Source organism: Homo sapiens, chromosome 14 (assembly GCF_000001405.40).
Source record: "Homo sapiens chromosome 14, GRCh38.p14 Primary Assembly".
Classification (NCBI taxonomy): domain Eukaryota; kingdom Metazoa; phylum Chordata; class Mammalia; order Primates; family Hominidae; genus Homo; species Homo sapiens.
In genome coordinates, this window is record NC_000014.9 from 20707679 (window position 1) to 20732984 (window position 25306).

Consider the following 25306-nt stretch of genomic DNA (forward strand, 5'->3'; position numbering starts at 1 on the left):
CGTCTTTGTCACCATCCAGGTAGTCATGGGAGTTGGGACCTGTGGTATAATAAAAAATAAATTTGAACTTAGTTCCTGGTTCCTGCCACAGACCTTCTAAAATGCTTGGAATTTCCTGAGTGATAGTGTAACCAAACTAAGGGTCAGCTGATCACTGCTCACTGCTCAAAAGCAAGACTTGCAAGACAAGAGTTGGTGCAGGAAAAGCAGGTTTATTCAAGAGCTAGCAACCTGAGGAGATGGTGGACTAGCGCCTCAAAGACTATTTCAAAATTTTAGGCTAGCTAAAGGGATTTTAAGAAGTAGGAGGCATGGAAACTATGAGCAGGAGTGGTGCAGGGTGCAGGTTTGCATGTCTTACTCTGATGGCTATCTTCAGTAACGGATCACCTGGAGGTCTGGCTGGCATCACCATGACTGCAACTAGCTTATGGATTAACCCCCCTCAGTGATTTTTCTGAGAATGTAGGATTCCACAATCTCAAATTCATGCCCGGTTTATTTCAAGATTAGCCCCTGGGTTTCTTAAGCAAGGATACGGCTAGATACTGAATAAATCAAAGGGTGAGGCTATTCATTATTGAAGCAGGCTGATTATTCCAGCTACAAACTCCCCACTGCCAATTCCTGTTTCATTTCTATGGGAGATCAGGTGTCAATTTCTTTCTAGCTACTTCCTGCTGAATGAGGGCATCACTAGGGAGCTGAAGAATGGAATTTATTTACCTGGAGTTGGAAGTATTCATGCATTCCTTGACTTATGGAAGTGATTTTTTACAGCATCATTGACCTGGGAGTTAGGAGCCTTTCCAATTAAGGAAAACACAATCTTGCAATATCACACATATGGTGCAACAAGAGTATAACCCATAGAGAATATACCTATTCCTATAATCATAGCTGGAACTACTAGCAGTTTTTTCCACCAAGTAGGTCCGTATCCAAACCATGAAGATAACCACTGGTTTAGGAACATTGTGGGGTCAGACATAGCATTGATTTGTCTGTGCACGTCTTGAAGGGCTAAGGAGATGTTTCGCAAATTACCTAGGATATACACAAAACATTTAGTTTCAATTATGGGTCAAGGTCCCTCCCAGCAGCTGTGAGTACATCAAGGGCCATGTGGTTTTGCAAGACTACTTTTCCCATCATAGTCATTTCAGAGGTTACTAATGAGATGCCCTTAAATGTGTCTTTCAGCACTTGCTATAATTTGTAAGTGCCTCAATATGCCAGATGATGCTTTCTAAGCCTGCTTGGGGGAAAACAAGGGACAGGAGATGGTCGTAGGAAGGGAAAACCGGCCTGGTCCATTGGTGTAACACATCTGGAAAGTGTGCAGGCTGCCTGGTGGTTTTTGTTAATCAGCCCCGGACCTATGGGGGTCCTAACGTGCACTGCCCTATCCATCCATCAGGTAGACATGGCCGAAGATTAGTTTCACATAACTATTGAGTTCCACTGGGGACCAGCCACCAAATTTTGGGTCTGTGTCCAATCAGTGGTAAACAGGTTTGTCTAATATAGCACTAAAGAATGTTCATATTGATGTAGAGGCATCCTATCCACATTTTTAGTAACATTCGGCCAATGATTCTAAGAGTGATTCCTTTGTTCCCAACATGAAGTGGCAATTTGGGTTAAGTGACTAATAGTGGAGATCATCCAGAGGTAATCGTCCCAAATTTGATAAAAACTCACCTACCGTGTAATGGTTATTAGTAGCCAAAATCTTGGGGGCCATCTAGGAAAACTCCTTTAAGAGAGGGATTGCATACTCAGAGGTCCTTTGGATAGTCCGGTTATAATGAAGAGTTTTCCAGGATCTGGATTCTGAAGCGTTATATTAATGCCAGGCCATTTTTAAAAAATATTACCTTAAGTTACCAAGGTCCTGATTTTCCCATGAACAGTTTTTCATATACGTTTGTAAATGTATCTAATCAGTCCCCTGCAGGGGTGATACTCACTAAAGTAGCCCAGAAGTGCTAGAGATGGGTAGCAATCCACATACCCAGCAAGCATCTTAGTGTAGACTATCTGCATAATGTTATGCCCACTGTAGAAATAGACTAGTTTTAGCAGATGTCAAAAAAGTTTACTCATTATGATAAAGAATAACAGAAATTTAATCCTATAGTACAAAAAGATTTTTCTTAAGCAGTAGCTTCAGTTCTCCAGTTGGCTCACAAGTCCAACCAGGTTGATTGTCTGCTGTGTCAGGTTGGGGAGGGGCGATTTTTACCGAAATGTGATGTATGCGTGGTTTGACTCCAGCCAGCTTAACAGATGAATGAGTAGTTAATAAAACATCATAATGACCTGTCCACTTTTTGGCTGGCTGTTGTTGGTCCAGTCCTTGTTTTTACCAAGATTTTAGCGGCACTTTATCCTTGGATGAAAAGGGTGAAGGGGCTTTTTTGTAAGACACATAAAACTGGAAAGAACAAAAAGAACAAACTTGTGCAGGGTTAGTGATTTATGTCTTAGTTGTTGTACATATTGTTTAATTCTTGATTAATTTATTAAGTCCAAGGGTGGGGTCCCTGGCCAAGAACTTCAGAAGGGTCTCCCACACACAATTTCAAAAAGGCTTAATTTAAGCCCACTTCAGGGTGCTACCCCAATCCATAGCAGGGCAATAGGTAAAACCCTTTACCATTTTAAATCTGTTTCCCGATAGAGTTTTGCCAGGGGTTTTTTTTGGTTTTTTTGTTTGTTTGTTTTGTTTTGTTTTTGTTTTTGTTTTTGTTTTTTAGCATGTGGATCATCTTTTCAGTCTTTCCAGTTGATTGTGGCCTCCAACAAGAGTGTCATTTCCATTTGATCTGTAATGCTTGGCTTATCCTTTGTGTGATCTCAGAAATTAAAGAAGGATTATTGTTGCTTGGTATGGAGTAAGGAAGTCCAAATCGAGGAATGATTTCTTTTAGCAGAGCCTTAGCTACTTCTGCAGCTTTCTCAGACTTGTTCGGATAGGCTTCAATCTCTTGCTCGGGTAAGCTTCAACCTTTCCAGAAAATGTGTCTACAAACACTAGTAGGTACTTATAAATCCCAGTGTTTTTGGCATCTGGGTGAAATCAACCTGCCAGTCCTCGAATGGTCATATTCCTTTGTATTGTATCCTCCTCTGGGAAGAGTTGCATGCAGTTCTTGAATCATTTGGGGTATATAGATAACATGCTTGTATAATCTTTTGAATGATCTTTTGAAGGTGTGGCCCTTTGAGATATGGCTACACCAGGTGAGCCAGTCCATCTCTGCCATAGTGTGTCCCCTCATGCAGGTCTTTCAGGACTGGGTATACCAGGGCCTCAGAGAGTAATATCCCATGAGTGTTAGCTTTCCATGAGGAACAAGGGTCTGTGTTGGTCAATGTCCACTCATGTGTGCATTCTTCATTTCATTCAGTGTAGTGGAGTTTAAATTCTGACAAGTTTAAATGGAGTATTAAGGTCCCAAGTAAATATGTTTCTTGAGTGGCCTGCTTTGCAGCTTTATCAGCCACTTGATTCCCTTTGGTTATTGGGGAGTCATCCTTTTGGTGGCCTTGGCAGTGCATAATAGCAACTTGAGTTGGCAGAACAACTGCCTCTGACAAAGCTAAAATTTCCAGCAGGTGTTTAATGTCTTTATTTCTTGAGGTTAAGAATCCCCTTTCTTTCTGAATGACCCCACGGGCATACACTACCAAGAAGGCATACTTGGAGTAGGTGTAAATGTTTACCCATTTCTCTTGAGACTGTTTTAAGGCCCTGATGAGAGCAATCCATTCAGCTTTTTGTGCTGAAGTACCAGCAGCGGGGACATAGGCTTCTACTACTTTGTCTAGGGTCACTGGAGCATACCTGGCCTGGCGTTGTCCTCCTTCTGTGAAACTGCTTCAGTCAGTGTATAGCTCCCAGTCCGGAGTGGCCATCAGATGATCTGACAGATCTGGTCTGCTGGAATAGACTGCATCAAGAATTTCTAAACAATTATGCTCCAGTTCATAGTTGGACTCAGTGGCTGGGAGCAAGGTGGCAGGATTCAAGACTGTGGTGGTTTGGAGAAAACATTTCTGTTATCTAATAGGCTGGCTTGGTATTTGCCCATATGCCCCGCTATCATCCAGTAACCTCCCTTTTGTTACAATAAGGTTAACACTTGATAAGGCACAAATGCAGTAATGGGCTGTCCTAGGGTGAATTTTTCTGCTTCCTGTAAGATATCACACGTAGCTGCCACGGCCTGAAGACAAGGTGGCCATCCTCTGGTAATCTGCTCCAGTTGTTTGGGAAAGTAGGCTATGGGTTGTGGGGAATTCCCACGTAGTTGAATTAGTATTTCCTGTCCTGTGCCCTGGTTTTCATGGATATAGAGTCTAAATAGCTTTCAAGAATTGGGCAGTCCTAATGCTGGAGCTGACACTATTTTTTTTTTTTTTTTTGATGGTATCAAATGCCTGAAGGCATTCAGCCATCCAGTTTAGGGCTCCTGAATCTAATCCCTTTAGAGCCTTGTAGAGAGGTTTGACTATGAGTCCAAAATTAGGGATTCAGATTCAGCAGAAACCTGCCACACCTAAAACCCCCCACAGTGTCTTCCATTCCCAGGGGCCTTTATTGCTGCTATCACCTGTTTCTGGTTGGACATCAAGCTCTGCTTTCCTTGTTTTTAGTCAGAAGCCAAGATAGGTCACTTCTTGTTTACAAATCTGAGTTTTCTGAGGTGATATGTTACGTCCGTATTATATCAAATAATTTAAGATTAAGATAGTGTTAGATAGGCACCTCTCATAGTCTTGGCTTGCGATTAACAAGTCATCCAAGTATTTTAGCAGAACCCCATCATCTAGTTGAAAATCTCTGAAGCCCTTTGCCAATATTTTGCCAAAGATGGTGGGTGAGTTTTTAAAACCTTAAGAAAATACAGCCTAACAATATTGGAAGGTGTTTTTTGTTTCCAGGTCTTGCCACTCAAAGGTGAACAGCATCTGGTCCCTCTCTTCAATCAGGATGCAAAAAAAAAAAAAAAAAAAAAAGTATCTTTTAAGTCTAATACCGAAAACTACCCATACTGCCCTGGTTTATCAGTTAGTAAGGTGTAAAGGATGGGCATAGTTGGGTGAATGTCTTGAACAATGTCATTAATGGTTCCCAAATCTTGTACAAATCAATATTCATTTGAGTGTGGGTTTTTAACAGTCAGGATAGGGGCATTGTATGGAGATCTGTAAGGACATATTTGTCCATTTTTTAGAAACTTCTGTAATATAGGTTGTATCCCCTCTAAAGCCTCTCTTTTTAGAGGGCACTGTGTTTGGGGAATACCTTAGCCCCTTCATTTATTTCTGTGCACACAGGCTGTGTATTTTCAGCACTACCTGTGGTCCCATCTGCCCTCATGACTACTTACTTGCTCACAGATTGCTGGCAGGAGGCATTCTTTTTCTTCCTCGGGGTGTGTGAGCAGCATCTGCAGCTGCAAAGCTTGCTCTGGCAGGACCTGCAGATGAAGTTGTTGTTTTTCTGGAGAAAAACGTCACATGGCAATTTAGTTTACAAAGCAAATCTCACTCCAGCAAAGGAATTTGGTATTCCAGCATATAGAGGAAACTGTGTCTCAGCTCCAGATCTCTGTGTCCGGCAGTCTCCAGACTCTCCAGGGTCTGGAGAAAGGCTGTTTGCTGCATCTTGCCAGCGACAACCATCACAGGCACTGTTTTCCTAGTACTTTCAGTTTCTTTAGTGTTTCTACCTGAATAAGTCACACCAGTATTGATTAAAAAGTCAATCAATTTGTTCCCCATTGTCAATCGTACCTGAGGTTCCTGTGGGGAAATTACAACCTGCTCCAAAAGATTTGGGCCTCCTTCACTATCTGAGCTACAGTCCTGCTTTACCATCAGCCAGTATGTTTCTTCTCTGTCACTGTGTCTCCCTTCTTCTGGTTTCCCTGTCTTTTCTTTAATTTGGGGCACTCAGATTTCCAATGACCTTCCTCCTTGCAGGGGGCAGACTGATCATTACCTAGAGTTTTGTTCTGGCCACCTCCCTGTGCCTGGTTTTTCCTTTTCGGATATACATTCTTTCCACTAATTCCAAGTATATCATGGCTTGCTTTAGCTTTTTGGCCTTCCTGGCATTATATACTCTGAAGGCAATGTCCAGCAGTTGGGAAAGGTTTATTCCAAATACCCCCTCCAGTTTCTGCAGTTTTCGTTTAATATTGGATGAAAGTCACGTTTACCATTCTCATATTCTCAGGAGCTTCTGGATCATAGTCCATACACTTGTGGTAAACCTGGTAAATGCACTCCAGAAATTCACAGGGGTTCTCATCTGCCTTTGGGAGAACTGCCCTGGCTTTATTTAAGCTCTTTTACATTCTTCTCTTTAACCCTGCCAACACATGCTTTTTATAATGACTGGACAGGGCCATTCCTCCATTGTTGGGGTCCCAAGTAAAATCTGCAAGTGGAGCAGCCATTTCTATTCCTTCCCCATCCTGGGGAGAGGAGCTGACACCTTGGCCTCTCCGGGTCCTGGGCTACATTTGGTAATCCTGGGAGGGCTGGTGCCCCCAGTACCACATGGGAGGGGAAATTTAAGATATTTATGAGGCCCATATCATCAATATCCTCTTCCTTTTGGGTCTTACTATCTGGAAAGAGAAATCTCTTTTTCCCTTTTCTCTACGTCATTCACATAGACCCCTCATGTGCTGAGTCTTTGTTATGTAATAAATGCTTAAACACATGGAATCTCATTTCATTTCCCAGATCTTAGGCAAAATAACGCCAACTGTAATAAGGTGTACTAATGTAAATCACTGTTCAGTAGCCACCATTTTTCAGATTCCAACACATACATAGGCCAAACAGTGTTACAATGAAAAAAAATCATTATCTTTTTTGTTATGAGTTCATAGCTATAAGCTTTCCAATAAGCCAATATACAGCCCAATGGCCACTTAGATGGAATGGAAGTCAAGTTGCCCATTCTCAGGGGAGAGATCAAAAGAACACAAACACACAGATCAACACAGAGTACTCCTGAACCAATTCCTGTAGAAGGAGACTGGGAAGTTAATAAATCTTAGGCTAACTGATACTGCAAAAGACCTGTGTCAGGTCCAAATGGCATAAAGCCCAAATGGCAGAGACAGAGGATTTCTAGCATGCAAACTGGTTTGATTTACCCAGTCTTGAATCCTGTCAACTTCCTCAACTATCATTTTCCTTATACTAATAAAGCATTGCAGGCAGCTGATGCCACAGAGGGGGAAGGAGGGAAAAGATGTTCTTGGCAGCTGCTGGGACAACCCTAGAATCCCAGCTGGGAGGTCAGCTAGCCACGAGCAGCTAATCCTCATGAGAAGTTGTTGCTCTGCCTGGTAGCATGAATGAGTAAGCCCTGGCATGATGCCACAGCCAATTGCTCCATCCATCGGAAACCAGGCACGCTAGACCAGTAGAGACATATAGCCCCATGCTGGGTGATAAAAAATGTAACCAAACTGTTGGAAGTAAGTGCTCGGTGCCACAGAGTGAAAATAGCACTCAGGCAAAAATTTTCTCAGCAAAGCAATTTACTTCTATAGAAGGGTGCATCTCTCAGATGGAGCAATGGTGAGAGCACACCAGACAAGGGAGGAGAAGGGCGTCTTATTCCTAATGCAGCTAGTCCCTACTGCTGTGTCTTTCCCCTGTTGGCTAGGGTTGGACCACACAGTCTAAGCTAATTCCAGTTGGAAATTTTAAAGAGAGTGAGTGTATGAGCTGGAGTGGTGGGGTGAGTAGTTTCATCAGGGAAGGACAGTTACAGAACAGGAGAGTAAGGATGCCTAAGGACAGAACAGGTGATAGAGGCTAGGAGGGGGTTGTTTACTGAAACTAGAGGCAAGGAGGTGTAAAGAACAAGGAAGTTAAACTTCAAAATGGAGAACAAAGAACAGGGAAGCTGAACATACTGACGTATTTGTTCTTTGAAGAGGAACTCAGAACTCATTGTACTTAAATGATTTTTTTCTCCCTCTTGAATTTTTTTTTTTTTTTGAGATGGAGTCTTGCTCTGTCACCCAGGCTGGAGTGCAGTGGTGCAATCTAGGCTCACTGCAAGCTCCGCCTCCTGGGTTCACGCCATTCTCCTGCCTCAGCCTCCTGAGTAGCTGGGATTACAGGCACCCGCCACCACGCCCGGCTGATTTTTTTGTATTTTTTAGTAGAGACAGGGTTTCACCATGTTAGCCAGGATGGTCTCAATCTCCTGACCTCATGTTCTGCCTGCCTTGGCCTCCCAAAGTGCTGGGATTACAGGCATGAGCCACCACGCCCAGCCACCATCTTGAATTTTAAAGGAAGTTAACAGGCTAACTCTGAAGAGGAATTTACTGTATCCTACAATCTCCCCCCTTTCAATTTTCATAGGCCTTCCTCTTCAAACCTTTTTAACATGTCTTGGCTTTGCTGCTTGACTTGATCCTCTAAAAGAAGAAAGCTTTTCTGAATAAGGTGGAGGAAAGTTAAGGGAGGTTTTAGTAGGTGCTGTTTCTTTGCACTGCCCCACGGACGCATGGTATGACACAATACCCAACAAGAATGAGTACACCTATTACGGCTGCAAGAGAAGTAAGAATCGAGGCTATGATCTTTTCCATCTACTGAACCACCTTTCTAGCCATCCTGAGAAAGGGTTATTGACTCCAGAATCTTTAACTAATTCATTGGATAAAGCAGTAAGTCCTTGTAAGACCCTTGTTATGCTCCCAGTGGGGGCAGTGTTGCTTGGGATAAAGGTACAGCCCTGAGTTTTAATCATAACACCAACACTGCCTTTTTCAGCTAATATCACATCTAGGGCCATTCTGTTTTCCCAGGCCATCTGGCTAGTGGGCCCCAATTGTTCTGCTATCCCTTTGACAGCATCCCTGGTGTAATTAATAAACCACTGCTAATTATAATAGACGTAATTTATCCAATCTATGTTTTTATTAATTGTCACCCACAAAATCCTGCAGCTATTTAATCTTGACTCAAATCCTGCAGCTATTTAATCTTGATCTTTAAATTTATCTGGTACTCCTCATGGGACTCCAATTGCATCTAAATAAATGTGGGAGTTGAAAGACCCATAAGGAGCTTCCCTTGTTTTATGATGTTGTATTTTTCCTCTCTCTGGTTGATGAAATGCTAGGGTGGAAGGGATAGCCAATTAAACTAGAGCACAAGTGCTGCTCCAGTTACTTGGCAGAGAGTCCAGTAAAGGTCCACCACAATACCACCATACATATGCTTGGGGATGAACAAGGGCTGACTGATTGGTAAGCTCTTGGAAAGTCTTAAGCTCACTGCATCTTTTTAGGTCTCCAAGGAATGCTAAGTTTCCTCCCTGTAGTGAGAGATATGAAGTGAACTTAGCGTCAGGGGACAGAAGCTGAGTGGACCTTGGGGGCTGACCTGCAGGGTATTGAACCTCAGGATATAGCAGAGAGAGCTTGACACGACTTTTTACCCCAGGCTGTGTAATCCTGGAAAAAAGTAACCATACAGCCCATGCCTAGTAGACTAAAGGACTATCCTAATGGAAAGGGGACAATCTGGGCTTCTGGTCTGCCGTGCGCACAAGCATAACAAATGCTTTTGTTTAAAGTGTGGATGGAATGTTTGATCCACTCCAACCAGGCATTAGCATCTTGATATTCTGTCTCAATTGCCAAAGTTTGTTTTAGGTCTTTAACTTCTATAATAACTACCTTGGTCTTGTCATTAGATGGAGGAGAACAACAGTTTTGTTGTGAGAGCTTCTGGAAGAAGGCTTAAGGGAAGGTGTAGGCGGCAGAGGATCAATGAATTGTGTTTCAAAGGATCTGATAGGGTCTGTTCCTGAAACCTCAGCCCCCACACCATAAAACCGGCTTAAAGAAGGGAACCGGCTTAGAGAAGGGGAAGAGCTTTGAGGGTTTGAGATAATAACCTGTATTGGATTGCACGGTTCAGCTGACAGCTAGGTGAAGCTGTTCCTTTAGTAAAGTGAATATATGACTTTAGGAAATTACAACCACTGGTTGGGGCAGCTCATCCTTGCTCTTTAGTGGTCCACAGAATGTTGGACCAACTGTGGCATAAAAGCTCTGTCTTGCAGGAGCAAGACTCCCAGCTGATACTGGGGTCTTTATTGAAATCTCTCCAGACTAAATGATCCCCATTCACTAATGTCCAGTCTGAGGAGAGCCGGGAAGGACAGAGGTACTTTTCTGAATTGGAGAGCTGTCTTTAACTTGACAAGTCTCCACAAGGTATAACAAGGCAAGCATCAAATGTAATAGTTTGAGGTGAAATTGACTTTGTTACATTAATAATGAGGTGGTCAGCAATAGAATGAGGAAAGAAGAAGGAGTAATAAGAGAGTTAAATTTTTCTTAGCTTGGCTCACGCCTGTAATCCCAGCACTTTGGGAGGTCGAGACAGGTGGATCGTTTGAGGTCAGGAGTTCAAGACCAGCCTGGCCAACATGGTGAAACCCCATCTCTACTAAAAGTACAAAAATTATACAGGCGTAGTGGTACACGCCTGTAATCCCAGCTACTCGGAAGGCTGAGGCGGGAGAATTGCTCGAACCCGGGAGGTGGAGGTTGCAGTGAGTGAAGATCGCACCACTGCACTCCAGCCTGGGCAACAGAGCAAGACTCTGTCTCAAAAAAAAAAAAAATTTCTTAGCTTTAGTTTGGTAGGGTTTTCCCCTGGGACTATGGCCCACGACTCTGGAGGGGGCGGCACTTTCTTGACTTGGGTGTGATAGGTCCATCCTTTTTCTGCTGTCTGGACTGCGCTTTCAGTAGTTAGGAGCACTAGATAAGGTCCTTCCCAGGCCAGTTCCAGCTTTTCCTCCTTCTAGTTTTTGATGAGGACTTGATCCCCGGGCTGATTTCGATGTACTGGGAACTCCAGGGATGGTGCCTGTGCTAAAAGACCTTTAGTTCTAAGGGAAGAGAAAGTGGAAGATAAACCAAGTATATAATGTCTGAGAAACTGATCTTTTGTTTCGAAGGTGGAAATGTCAGCAGTGGAGTGTAAATAGGGCAACCCATATAGCATCTCATATGGGGATAGGCCAACATCTTTTTGAGGGGTGGTTCAGATTCCTAGCAAGGCAATGGGAAGGCATTTAGTCCATGGCAACTGAGTCTTTAAGACTAATTTGGTTAAGTGACTCTTCACGGTTTGATTTATTCTTTCTACTCTTCCCGATGAAGGTGGGTGCCAAGGAGTATGGTATTCCCACGTTATGTCTAGTGCTTGGGCTAATTTCTTAATGATATGTGCAGTGAAATGAGTTCCATTATTTGAATTAATATTTTCAATTTATTTGCCCAGATCCATTGGAGGAACCACTATCTATGACCGCTATAGTCTTATGAAATGTATTTCTGAAGTAATAAGACTTGAAAGCCAAAATTACTCCTTGATCCATGGGCTGCAGAACTGCAGAACGGATGTTGTGTGAGCAGGCATGGAAACTATGGAAATTAATATCTTTGAACATCTCCATCAGAGGCCTTAGGTAACCAAGTGCATTGCCAATCAGCAGTAGTATTTTGAAAGGAATCTTTTTTTTCTGAGCAGGTCTCAATAATGAGCTTAAAATATTCAGTAAACCATGATGTAAACAGATGTGCTGTCAATCAGGCTTTGTTGTTCCATTTATAGAGACAGGCAAAGTAGATTCAGCATAATTCCTAAGGGCCCTAGGATTTTCAAATGATACATGAGCACTGGCTTCAACCTGAAGTCTCCAGTGGCAGGTGCCCCCTGACAAGAGAGTTGGCCTGCCCTCTGAAGCTCTGAAACCAGGCACTGACTCCTCCTCTCTAGCTATGGGAGTCCCAGATGGCACCTTCTTCCACTATAAAGCTGTCTCATCTACACTGAAAATCTGTTGTTTAGTGTGGCCACCTTCATCAATGATCTTATCTAGAGCTTCTGGAGAACTTGCTGCAGCTTCTCCTCAGGACTTGCTGCTTCATCCTGCACTTTTATGTTATGGAGATGGCTTCTTTCCTTAAACCTCACGAACCAACCTGTGTTGGCTTACAACTTTTCTTCTGTAGCTTCCTCACCTCTCTCAGCTTTCAGAGAATTGAAGGGCCTGATCTGGTTTTGACTTTGGCATAAGAGAATGTTGTGGCTGGTTTGGTCTATCCGAACCACTGAAATTTTCCCCGTGTCAACAACAATAAGGCTGTTCTGCTTTCTTATCACTTGTGTGTTCACTAGAGCAGAACTTTTAATCTCCTTCAAGAACTTTTCCTTTGCATTCGCAACTTGACTAACTGGCTCAACAGCATTTGGCCTATCCTAGCTTTTGACACGCCTTCCTCACTAAGCTTAATCATTTCTAGATTTTTAAAGTAAGAGACATGTGACTCTTCCTTTCACTTGAACACATAGAGGTCATTGTAGGGTTACTAAATGGCTCAGGGAATAGGGAGTCCTAAAGACAGGAAGGTGGGGAAGCCGCCAATCAGTGGAGCAGTCAGAACACACACATTTATCAATCAAGTTTGCCATCTTCAGTTTGTGGCACCCCAAAATAATTACAATAGTAACATCAAAGATCACTAACCACAAATTACTGTCAGATATAGTCATAGAAGAAGTTTGAAATATTCTAATAATTACCAAAATGTGACACATGGAAGCACTAAATGCTGTTGAAAAAATGGCGCTGACAGATTTGCTCAATGCAGGGTTGCCATAAGCCTTCAACTTGTAAAAAACACAGTATCTACGAAGTGCTATAAAGGGAAACACAACAAAACGAGGTGTGCCTGCACAACCAATGCCCAACTGTGTGTACCGCCTGAAGGAAAATGTTTCAAAGGTATCACAACTTTTTAGTCTGGAAATCTGAACAATATTTTGGTTTTTCACAGTGAGCATGTGGAACTTATATAACCAAAAAAGTAAAGTTGTATTTGAATGCATGTGGGCTACAAGTAAAAAGGAAGATGAAATAACAGTTTTATAAAGCGGAAAGATTTATGGGTCTAACTCTGTGTCATATTTAGATTTTCTAATAAATGGGTATAGGAACAGAAGGAGAGACAGAGTTAGATAAAAGGTGTAGACGGTAGGCTTTGCTGCTTCGAGAACTTGGTGCTGATTAGAGGTGTGATTGCATTCATGGTAATAGGGATGAGTGTCACGAACTGCTGTGTGTTCTGCTGGTGAGCTTCACTGCAATACTGCACTAACCAGTGAGTGTAAGCCTGCAGCACAGCCAGGGACTGAGCACGTACATCAATGAGGTCAGGTTTCAATACTGATGGCACATCAGTTTCAATGTTGCACAATTTTTTTTTTTCTTTTTTGAGACGGAGTCTTGCTCTCTTGCCCAGGCTGGAGTGCAGTGGCACGTTCTCAGCTCACTGCAACCTCTCCCTCCCTGGTTGAAGTGATTCTCCTGCCTCAGCCTCCCGAATAGCTGGGACTACAGGCACGTGCCACCGTGCCCACCTAATTTTTTGTGTTTTTAGTAGAGACAGGGTTTCACCATGTTATCCAGGATGGTCTCAGTCTCCTGACCTTGTGATCCACACACCTCGGCCTCCCAAAGTGCTGGGATTACAGGCGTGAGCCACCGCACCTGGCTCAATGTTGTACAACTTTATCTGAGATCCATACAGAGTGACTTTGACCAAACTCTCCACAACTGTGAGGGCATCATTGAACCATGCAGCAAACACATCCCCAATAAAGTACCCGGCCAGGTGGCCCATGGCCTGCAGCAGGGAGCTCAAGTCTCTCAGGGAGCAGTGCAGCCACCAGCAGTCGTTCTCTGCCATGATGTTCAACCTGTGTCCTGACCCTGATGTAACTATAACTTGCTGTAATCCCAAATAAACTTCTAAATTGCCCTGAAGAACTGGGAACAGTGTGGACAACGTGTGCGTGGGCAGGAGCTCCATCACTTTGACCGCCACCTCCAAGCTCTGCCGTAAGTACCGCTGTCACTCCATCTGCTGATCGTCATCCAGAGTCTCGTCATCCAACTCCTCCAGCTGGCCTGGTTGTATCTGAACTGGATTTGATTCAACACCTCTGTGGGGAGGAGCACCAGGGCATCTTCGTACCTGTTGAGAACTGCTTCCTTGTCTTCAAGATGACTTTTAATTTTATTTGTCAGATAGTCCAAAAAGAGTGTCCAGTATCCAAACAAGAGAATTAACCTTCATGAGTAGGCTGATGAAATGTGTACTTGAACAAAAGTGTCAAAAACTCCACCACAGAGAACTGGGAGTAAGACTCGATTCTTCTTAGGTGAACACTCACAAAGAGCCAAAGAAAGTCAGTAAACTTCTCAATAAAGCTCTCATCGAGCTCTTCTAGCCTGCTCTTCACTGTGTGGGCATTGTTATCCTTGGTGATCTTCTGCAGGAGGTAGAAAGTCTGCTGGAACATAAGCAGTAAATACTCCTCGAACTCCATCGGCACACAGCTCTTGGAAATGAGTTCACTGATGCAGGGCATGGCCAGGACCCCCGGCCGGCTCCGCTCCTGAACCGAGACACAGTTCTGGCTGCTGCCGTTAACTGACGCCATCTTTCTGGCACGGATGTCACAGCCAAATCACGCAAAGTGGAAGGTGGTGGTAAGGAGGGATGGGGTGATGCCGGCAGACAGAGGAATACAACTGAAGAGATGGGCTAGGCACTCCAAGGCAAGGGAACAGATATACTCACTCACCACATCAAGGATGGGAATTGGCTGATTCAACAGTTTGGCTGAACTAGGACTCTGCCACAGGTTACTCAGTAAGTCACCACTTTCTCCTGTCGGGGAGGGTGGTGGAGTGGCAGCAGTAACACTGTGTTTGTCCCAGACAGTCCCCAAGATAGCGGTCAGCAGCCCAAGCACTGTCTGCACCTGGTCCAGTGGCAGCTTCTGCAACTCCTCCTTCCAAGCCACACTGAGGTCCTCGTGGGGACAAGCCAGCTCCTCTGAAGTTGTCTTCAACATGATCGGCCCAAGGGGGGTTGTCACAGGGGATTGGTTCAACTGCAAAATGTTAGTAAAAAAGTCATGGTAGAACATGGGCCGATCCTGACGTCCAATATCAACAATAACTTTGCAGAACTTGCTCTGGATAAAGTAAGGTAAGGTTTTATGGTGAGCCAAAAGGAGTTTGGGCAGTCAGCTGTGGATTTCCATCTCATCCTGAGATGGGACCCCAAGCCACATTTTATTGATCAGATTCTCAAAAACTGTTAAACTGTACATCATTACATAGCCATTCCTAGTGCTGGAGAGAAAGTACAGGAAGAATCTCCAGGCTCCTATTTGCTGGGCAATGTTATTAAGAAGCTCCTCTATCTCACGTTTTCTTTCATTGGTCGTACCATCGTGAAAAAGTTCTGTCATCAGCCTTTCCAATGCTCTGAGAGGGGCTTCTTCAGATGCCATGCTGGCCGGGGAGGGGGCGGCTCAGATGAGCTGGTTCTTGGGCTTTGGACACATCCTACTCGCCCAGTTCAGGTCATGGTCCCGGCAGACTAGGGAAGTCCCCTACCCATGCAAAGATAACCCCTTCCCCCCCGGGCCCCGAGGGGATCCTCTAAAAAGGGCAGGGCTGCCTGGGTCGCCTCATCGGGGGCCCCTGAGACAAGTCATCTAGACCCACCGGCCCCTCCACAAGGAAACTGAAAAAGTAGGAAATGGGGCTCGATTGCTGGCGAGGAGGGCAGCAGCTCGGGACCCCCGCCCGGCCCGAACCCCGCGCGGGGGAGGCTGCGGGCGCAGGCGGGGGCTCCCCGGCCTCCGCGGGCAGAGGTGGCGGCGGGCTCGGCCCGGAGGCTGAAGGGGCGGAGGCTGACGGGGCCTTGGCTGCGCTGCCGGGGCAGCCGGCTCAGGGGAGAGGCCCAGGGGCCCGCGCTGTCCTCGCCGCCTCAGCCCACACGGCTGCCGCCGCCGCCCCCTAGAGCATCCCTGAGCGCGCCCGCCCTGGAGCCGCTCGCTCGTACCGCACGGCCGCCCCCGACCACAGCATTTTAAAATCTGCTACTGTAAACCACTGGTGGCTGTATGGGATCCTACTGATAATAGTATTAGGATTGGGAACAACAGAGTGTGTAGCTTGGAGTATCTGATTAATAGCTCTAAGGTCTTGCCCTAACCGGTATGAGCCATCTGCCTTTTTACAGGCAGTACTGGAGTGTTATAGGAAGACATGCAGGGTTCAAGAAGCCCATCACGGACAAGACCTTCAATCAGAGGTTTCAAATTTACCCTGGCTTTTGAAGGAATAGGGTATTGCTTTCGCTTTACTACTTCCCCAGGGGTGTTTAATTTAAGATGAATCAGAGGAATCTGTAACTTTCAATTCCCGTCTTTTGACCATACCTCGGGATGAATGTGTTCTTTGTCTGTGGTGGTGAGCAAGTTTAGGGAGGGGAGGAATTTTCCAAGACTGATCTGGAGACCTAAGCCTAATTTTAGCGTTAAATCTCTTTCTAATAGATTTGTCCCTGTTTCCAGAATTAACATAAATTTGATACTAGCTGATTGTTTTTTATATTTCACTTCTGTCTCCTCTAAGATTTTTTTTTTCTCTCTACCTTTGAGTCTCCTGGCTTTACTCTTTCATACCCTTTATATTGCCTGGAGAGTGGGTTCTTTATAGGTTCTGGCCCCCTGGGTACTTTGTTGTATGGTGGACAGCAGAATTTTCGCCTTCTGCTTTTGTTTTTCTTCATCCCTTCTTACATATACTTTCTGGGTTTCTCTCAGAAGCTCTTCTATAGGTCTATCTTTCCAGTTCTCTATCTTTTGTAATTTCTTGTTAATATCTGGCCAACTCTTAGTGACGAAATGAAGTTCTAAACATTCCCTGCCCAAGAGCGTCTTCTGATTCCAGGCCAGCGTATTTTCTCATTTGCTCTTTAAGCCTTTCTAAAAATTCTATTGGTCCTCATCTTTTCTCTGTTTTATATTAAAGGCCTTGGTAAGATTTTGGGCACAGGGCACTGATTCTCGAATTCCTTTTATTACCATCTCCCTAAGGTCTTTCATATTTCCTCAGTGGGCCGTATTGTTGTTATCCCATTAAGGATCCTGGGCTGGGAATTTTGTTCAGTTGCTGGGACATTCTGACCAGGAGGGTGTTCATGTTCCCAAATGGTCATGGCGGCCCTGTGTATCATGCTCATTTTTTCTCCTGAGAATAAGATGCCTAAGATAGACATTAACTCAGCCCAAGTATATAACTGGGGTCCTAAAACTGATCAATTTGATCTGCCACTCCATAAGGGTCATCTAAGAGTGGTTTAAGCTCCTTTTTTAGGTTTAGGGAAGAGTCTGGGATGGCAGCTAGTTGGGGGACAGGAAGGTACTTTAGTCCAAATAAAACAGCACTATTTTATCATTTTCTTGTGTTGGGTCCTTCCATTACCCTTCCAATATTCTAACATTAGGCTTAGGGGACTACCACAGGGATATTATCATGATCATGGTCTTTCCTATCTTTTGTCTTACTCGCTATATTTGCCATCCTGGAGAAAGTGTTTTTTCCTGAGTCTGCAGGGCTCAATCTCTCTTACTAGAGATTTCTTGCACCCTAGCGAGTCTGTGGGGCTTAATCTCTCCTACTAGAGCAGGTCGGTATAAACCCCACATGAGCAAGCCACCTTTAAGCTGTATGAGGTCAAGGCAGAACCAGATCTGGACTCTGCACTTGCTCTGCACTCAGTTGTGTGTCTCGGCCACACACTTTCAACCTCCAGGATGTCCCCACCGCCAAGGAAATACTTCACCGCCCCTGCAGCATTTCTTACCTTGGTGTGTCCCAACCAAGAAATACTTCACCACCTCCATGGCTTTTTTTATCTTGGTCACCACCACCAAGGAAATACTTCACCGCCCCCGCAGCTTTTCTTACCTTGGTCTGTGCACAGAGTTACCTGGTTGCCGTGGTATTTATTTGTAGGCCTTTTCTTCCCACTTTGCTGAGGGTCCAAGTTTATTCTTCACGCTGGGTGGGTCTCGATTCCTTTCCCCTGAGGCCACCGCAGTGAGGCAGCGGGATGCGTCTCCTCACGAGAGGTGATCAGAGACTTTTCCCCAGAGGAGAATGGGATCCCGGGCGGGCCCCCAAATTTGTTGGAAGTAAATGCTCGGTGCCGCAGGGTGAAAATAGCACTCAGGCAAAAGTTTTCACAGCAAGCCAATTTACTTCTATAGAAGGGGGCATCTCGCAGATGGAGCAATGGTGAGAGCACACCGGACAAGGGAGGGGAAGAGGAAGGGGAAGGGGAAGGGGAACGGGAAGGGGAAGGGAAGGGGGTCTTATTCCTAACCCCGCAGCTAGTCCCTACTGCTGTGTCTTTCCCCTATTGGCTAGGGTTGGACCTCACAGTCTAAGCTAATTCCGATTGGCTATTTTAAAGAGAGCGAGGGTACCAGCCGGAGTGGCGGGGTGATGAGTTTCAGAAGAAGGACAGTTACAGAACAGGTGACTAAGGATGCCTAAGGACAGAACAGGTGATAGAGGCTAGGAAGGGGTTGTTTACTGAAACTAGAGGCAAGGAGGTGTAAAGAACGAGGAAGTTAAACTTTAAGATGGAGAACAAAGAACAGGGAAGCTGAACATACTGACATATTGGTTCTTTGAAGAGGAACACAGAGCTCATTGTACTTAACAATTTTTCTCCCTCTTGAATTTTAAAGGAAGTTAACAGGCTAAACTTTGAAAAGGAATTTACTGTATCCTACAAAACTCAGGTTCAGCTGCTCACCACTTGAAAGCAAAACTCAAGAGACAAGGGTTGGTGGAAGGAAAAGCAGATTTATTCAAGAGATGGCAACCTGAGGAGGTGGTGGACTAGTGCCTCAAAGACTATGTCAAATGTTTAGGGTAGCCAAAGGGATTTTAAAGGAAAAGGAGGCATGGAAACTATGAGCAGGAGTGGTGCACGATGCAGGGCTGTGTGTCTCATTCTGATGACTATCTTCAGTAATCAACTACCTGGAGGTCTGGCTGGCATCACCATGACTGCAACCAGGTTATGGATTAACTACTCAGTGATTTTTCTGAGAAGGAGGACTCTACAATCTCAATTTCTTACTTGGTTTATTTCAAGATTGCCCCCTGGATCTCTTAAGCAAGTATATGGTTAAATATTGAACAAAGCAAAGGATGAGGCTATTCATCTTTGAAGCAGGCTATTTTGGCTTAAGTAGGAGTGCCTTGTTTTTCATAATGAGACCCTTTGATCATGCCTGAGATTATGCTAATGAGGTAACTTAAGGTGGGGCCCCTACATGACCTCAGGATGGGGCTGGCAACAGAAAGACCAGGGATTAGAAGGTTGACACTTTCAGCCAACCCACTGACATTTAGAAAGGGGGCAGGGACTGGAGACCAAGCTCCATAAAAACTCTCGGACATACAATCTGAGGAGCTTCCAGATTGCTGAATACATAGAGGTGTTGGGATGGTGGCATGCCCAGAGGCCACAGAAGCTCCACACCTTTCCCCTCCCACACCTAGCCCTATGAACCACTTCCATCTGGCTGTTTGTGAGTTGTGCTCATGATAATAAACTGATAAATGTAAATAAAGTGATTTGCTGAGTTCTATGAGCCATTGTAGAAAATTATCAAATCTAAGGAAGGAGTGGTTGGAACCTCCAATTTATAGCTGGTTGGTCAGAAGTACTGGAGGCCCAGACTTGCCAGTGGCATCTAAAGTAGGAGGCATCTTATGGGACTGAGCTCTTAACTTGTGAGATCCAATGCTAACTCCAAGTGGATAAAGTCAGGATTGGGTTAAATTTTAGGGCACCAAGCTAATGTTTGGAGAGTTGGAGAATTGCTTGATGTGGAAAAAACCCATGCATCTGGTGTCAGAAGCGTTGTGTGAGAATAGAGGAACAGAATGTGTTTTCCTAGAGTAATTAAAAGAAGTAATCCTTGCTGGACACATTATTTCACTTGTGGTGGAATTTATTTTCTATTCCTGTCTCTATGCCCTCTGCCCATATTCTATTGTCACATTTATCCCCCAATTGTGTCCCAGACACCACCACTTTTCCTTTTCAAAGTCACTCCTTTCACTCTTACTTTTAATTGTAACATAGCCAAGACTTGTACATAGTGTCCTGATTGAATCCGAAAAGGACATTTGAGCATTTTCACTGGGTTCTTCACGTTCTAGTATAAGGTGGCTAACTGCTCAGATACATATGTGTTTAATACACCTGACCCAATCAGGTGAGCTTTGTTGTTCCCTATTGTTCTGTCATGATCATTCTTGGTATTCTGTCAATATCTAACTTACAGAGAAGGTCTGTGGTCATGTCCTTTCCTTAAGTTCCTCCAAACTGTTTGGTCTCCTGAGAGCAAGGGTGAGAAACAGAGCAAGGGAGAGACATAGAGAATGAGAAGGAAAGAAAGAGAGAGAGAGAGAGAGAAAGATGGAGAGACAATATTAGAGCTGGCCTTGGGGGTTAGAGAATTATGAGGGAGTAAGTGCATTTCTGCCTGAATGCAGCTTTACTGGTACTTTAGAAATTCACCCAAAGCCTAACAAAAACAAACTAGTGTGTTGTCTTTTTTTTCTTTGAAATATTTATATTCCATTTCTGGTTAAAATAGTTAAGACAGAGTTGAATTATAATATCATTAACAGTAAAAGAAAATATTTAACACTGCTATCAAGATAATCACAATGGGGTTACTTAGGATAAGGCTGAGCTGCAAAAACAGCTCCGTAGTTTAAAAGCAAAATATTTTATTTTCCTGTCACTTGAGAGTTCCTCTCTAAGCAGTGCAAGTTATTTAGGAATCGGACTTCTTTCATTGTGTTACTCTGCCATCCCCTAGGAGAAGGGTGTTCACCTTTTCTGTGTCATGCACCCCTTCAGCATTCTGATGAAGCCAAACAGTTATTGAGAACAATAACAACTGAGAAAAAGAGAACAATAATACTTGTTCTCTGAAAAATATCATTAAATGCAAAAAATAAAATACATGGGATTTCAAAGGAAATCAAATATCAAACATTTAAAGTGTTTGAGATAGTATAGTATTGTATGTGTTTATTAACGCATTAAGTACTAAGACCTAAATTTAGGTCTAATTACTACTATAATTTTGAGGCAGTGATCAATGTGAAATAATATTTTGAGATATTGGCAACAAATATAAATGGCTACAAAAAGTCTATGATTTCCATTTTTTCTACATTCATTGGTAAAATAATTGCTAAATTTCAATATGGGTGAATGAAAAGATGTAATTTTCTGCCCTGCACCACGGCATGGATCCCATGAATTCTACCCATAGAGGCTTTCAAATCTCATGGCTTACAGGTTAAAACACCCATAGACGTGTTCATCCTCTGCATAAAGAAACCTAAGTCACTGTTATGGTTTTGTGAAACAGTAGTACACCTAAATTTAAGAATCGAATAGTGGTTAACAAAATAAAATACCGAGGAATTAATAGAAAGCAGTTCAAATCAAAAGCAATGTTTAAAGAACAAATATGATTAACAAGTAATTTGAAATTTATACTCAAAGAGGAATATCTCCTTAATAACTCAAATCAGCCGGGCGCGGTGGCTCACGCCTGTAATCCCAGCACTTTGGGAGGCCGACGCGGGCGGATCACGAGGTCAGGAGATCGAGACCATCCTGGCTAACACAGTGAAACCCCGTCTCTACTAAAAATACAAAAAATTAGCTGGGCATGGTGGCGGGCGCCTGTTGTCCCAGCTACTCGGGAGGCTGAGGCAGGAGAATGGTGTGAACCCGGGAGGCAGAGCTTGCAGTGAGCCGAGATCGCGCCACTGCACTCCAGCCTGGGCGACAGAGCGAGACTCGTCTCAAAAAAAATAAATAAAAATAAAAAAAAAATAACTCAAATCAGAAGTCACTACCCAAGGAACTCCTGTTGCAGAAACTGGTAGACAGCTCTAGGAAGTAGACCCGTTAAGCAGTTTCCAGAAATACTGGCTAACCTACCTTTCTGGGCTGCATTGGCAGTGGCTAATTTCTGCAAATATAATAGAATACTGTTCCCCTTAGCATAGTTTAGCTTACTTCCTAATTGGTTTTATATCCAAAAGGCTTTAGGACTTTTGGTTTAGCTCATAGGAGAGTTCATGGACGTATCCCTTGGAGTCCACAATAAATTTTTTTCCACATTGAAAGTAGAATATCTGGCCGGGTGCAGTGGCTCACTCCTGTAATCCCAACACTTTGGGAGTCTGAGGTGGGTGGATTGCTTGAGCTCAGGAGTTCGAGACAATACTGGGCAAAACCTCATCTCTACAAAAAATTAAAAAACTAGCTGGGTATGACCGGTGCATGCTTGTGGTCCCAGCTACTCGGGAGGCTGAGGTGGGAGAATTGCTTGAGCCCAGGAGGTAGAGATTGCAGTGAGCTGAGATCATGCCACTGTACTGCACTCCAGCCTGGATGAGAGAGGGAGATCCTGGACCTTGTCTCAAAAAAAATAAAAAATAAAAAATAAAAAAAAAGGAAAGTGGGAAAGTGGAATATCACTTATTTGAGAAACACTAGATTAACTAGTTGACATGGCTGAGGTAGTATAACCATATAATGTTATCAGCAGTAGAGATCAGCATAATGCTATATTGCTTAAAAACTACTTTCACATAGATCTCTTTCTTAGCTTGCTTCTTCACACATTGGCTCAGGTGGCTTCTCTCTCCTACCTCTCTCTACATTCATTGAGTCATTACTTGAATTTAAGTCTTCAATAAATAGTGCACACTTGTTGAAAAGAGCTCTGGATGTATGTGCACATGACAAACAACTGATTTTCCCACAGAATTGCCTCTCAAGTCATCCAAATTCAGATGCCCAGGATTGTTCCCTTTTTGCTCTCCCCTGTGCCCCAAAGACTAGAGAATAGAAAGATGCACAGAACCTGCTCTAATACTATCCTCCTTCCATCCAGTCTATCAGCACATGATTCCCTATTATTCAAGGATTGCTTGAGAGCTGCACTTTGAAGATAAGTTCTGGTTGTAAACATTCTGATATTCCAACAACGAGGTGGTCCAGTGAGAAAATCAACCAAGATGGCTTGGCTAGGAGCAGCCCTTGGAGGTGTTGATAGAAAACATATGCAAGTATCTTACTTTATTCATAAATTGCACCTTTGACTAGTTTTAATGAACCACTATTGGTCACATTTGCCAATTCTAGGGTAGTTGTTACAAAACATATGGTGAAAAATCTGGGCTGTGACGCGGAAAGGTGACCCCTTGGACGCTCACATGGGCAGGTGGTCTTGTCTGGTTTGAGCTCAGTTCAGGACTGAATCTTGAGTTCCTGAAAAACAACTCAGCCAGTACCTTGTGACCCATACTTCACAGTCAGACGTTATATATAGGAACATTGTGCAAACTATGGCTAGGCTACGTGACATTTTAATGGTAAGCACTACAGCGTCAGCAAACAGCTAAGGGTCATAGTTATAAGCTGACTAGAAAAACTTCAGATACTGGCTACCTAATCATTCATAGCTACCAGGCTATTGGTTTCATTAGACATTCTTTCACTCTCAATGAAGGCCCTACAGTTCACAATGTTAAATGTGGTTTTCCTCAGTGAAGTTCCCATGTAATGTAGCCTAGTCATCCAGAGACTTCCCAGAAGCTTGTCAGAAATTAAATGCGGGAGGCACATCTCTTGTTGTCTCCTGTTAGTGCCAGATAACCCCTTTCTGGGGTCACCTAGGGTCTTTCAGTTCTTTTGTGCCCTGAAGTCAGTCTTTGATGTTTGTGGCCTTTGCTCAAAGCCACTGTCTGAGTGAACCCAAGTGTTCCAGATGACACTATAGAAGAACAGGCTCACATAATAAGGCTGTTTCCCATCACCACCTCTGCTACCAATCAACTCAAGCGCTGAATCTCCCCCTGCCATTCCTTTCTCCACTGCTGCAGATTTCCTGGGCTCTGAGAAAAGGAGGAGGATGCAGACTCTGCTCTTCAGATCTACACATTGAACCCCACTATAACCAGTGACCTGAACTCAGAGTCTGAGTAGGGTAAGAACTGCTTTGCTGAGGACCCTCGGGGGATGACTAGGAGCACTGGCAGGAGGCTGATTGAACTTTTATTTTTATTTATTTGTTAGTATTAATTTTTTTTCTTTTTTTAGACAGAGTTTTGCTCTTGTTGCCCAGGCTGGAGTGCAGTGGCACAATCTTGGCTCACTGCAACCGCTGCCTCCCAGGTTCAAACAATTCTCCTGCCTCACCCTCCCTAGTAGCTGGGATTACAGGTGCATGCCACCACGCCCAGGTAATTTTGTATTTTTAGTAGAGATGGGGTTTCACCATGTTGGTCAGGCTGGTCTCGAACTCCTGACCTCAAGTGATCCACCCACCTTGGCCTCCCAAAGTGCTGGGATTACAGGCGTGAGCCACCACGCCCGGCCTAGTATTAATTTTTTGAGATGGAGTCTTGCTTTGTCACCCAGGCTCGAGTGCAGTGGCACTATCTTGGCTCACTACAACCTTCGCCTCCCGAGTTCAAGTGACTCTCCTGCCTCAGCCTCCTGAGTAGCTGGGGTTACAGGCACACGCCACCGTGCCAGGCTAATTTTTTTGTATTTTTAGTAGAGATGGGGTTTCACTACGTTGGCCAAGCTGGTCTCAAACTCCTGACCTCAAGTGATCCACCTGCCTCGGCCTCCCAAAGTGCAGGGATTACAGGTGTGAGCCACTGCCCCCAGCCTGATTGAGCTTTTAGATAGCAAAGAATGGAGAAGGATCCAAATCATGGAAAACTAAGGCCTGAATTCCAGTCAGCCTCATTCCCACTGATACAAGCTTTTCCCTGCCCCTCCCTTCCTTCACCCCCAGTCACCTCAACCACAATGCATTAAAGCTGCTTGCATCCTACTCTCCTAACATGTGTAGGTCTTTATCACCAGGACAGGGTTCCACAGATAGGAAGCGCCGACCCTTTGTTCTGTGTCTGAGGTGAGCATTTGACATTGTTAGAAGTGCTCTCGCATACATGCATCTCATTAGACTCTCACAGGTCTGTAGGGAGCTGTTATTAGGCCCTACATCGGTGAGGACACCGATACTCAGAGCTGTGAATCAGGTTAGAGGTTCAGTAGGGCCAGGAACACTCCTCATGGCAAATGAGGACAGAGAGCTTGTTTAAAGAGGTAACTTTTTCAAACAACCATACATCCTAGGCTGTGACCACAGTAGCTCCGGTGGGGACTTTTTTAGTCTTTATGCCTAATTGAGTACAGCTATATTTCTAAACTGGTGT

The 25306-nt window shown here is 44.1% G+C and overlaps 2 long non-coding RNA genes and 1 pseudogene across 2 annotated transcripts in view; all 3 read right to left on the reverse strand.

The window, feature by feature from the left end:
• Positions 1-2114: 2114 nt before the first annotated feature.
• LOC124903282 (uncharacterized) lies at positions 2115-8045 on the reverse strand. The gene is made up of 2 exons (XR_007064061.1): positions 5403-8045; positions 2115-4040 (listed from the first exon to the last, which is right to left on the reverse strand). It is a non-coding gene; the product is annotated as an uncharacterized LOC124903282 (long non-coding RNA).
• On the reverse strand, positions 13137-15663 carry RANBP20P (RAN binding protein 20 pseudogene; annotated as a pseudogene).
• A 2610-nt stretch (positions 15664-18273) lies between these two features.
• Positions 18274-25306, reverse strand: part of LOC107984671 (uncharacterized) — a 74578-nt gene continuing 67545 nt past the window's right edge. Inside the window, exon 3 of the long non-coding RNA XR_001750624.2 lies at positions 18274-20375. This is a non-coding gene — a long non-coding RNA (uncharacterized LOC107984671). The remainder of the gene's footprint in view (positions 20376-25306) is intronic.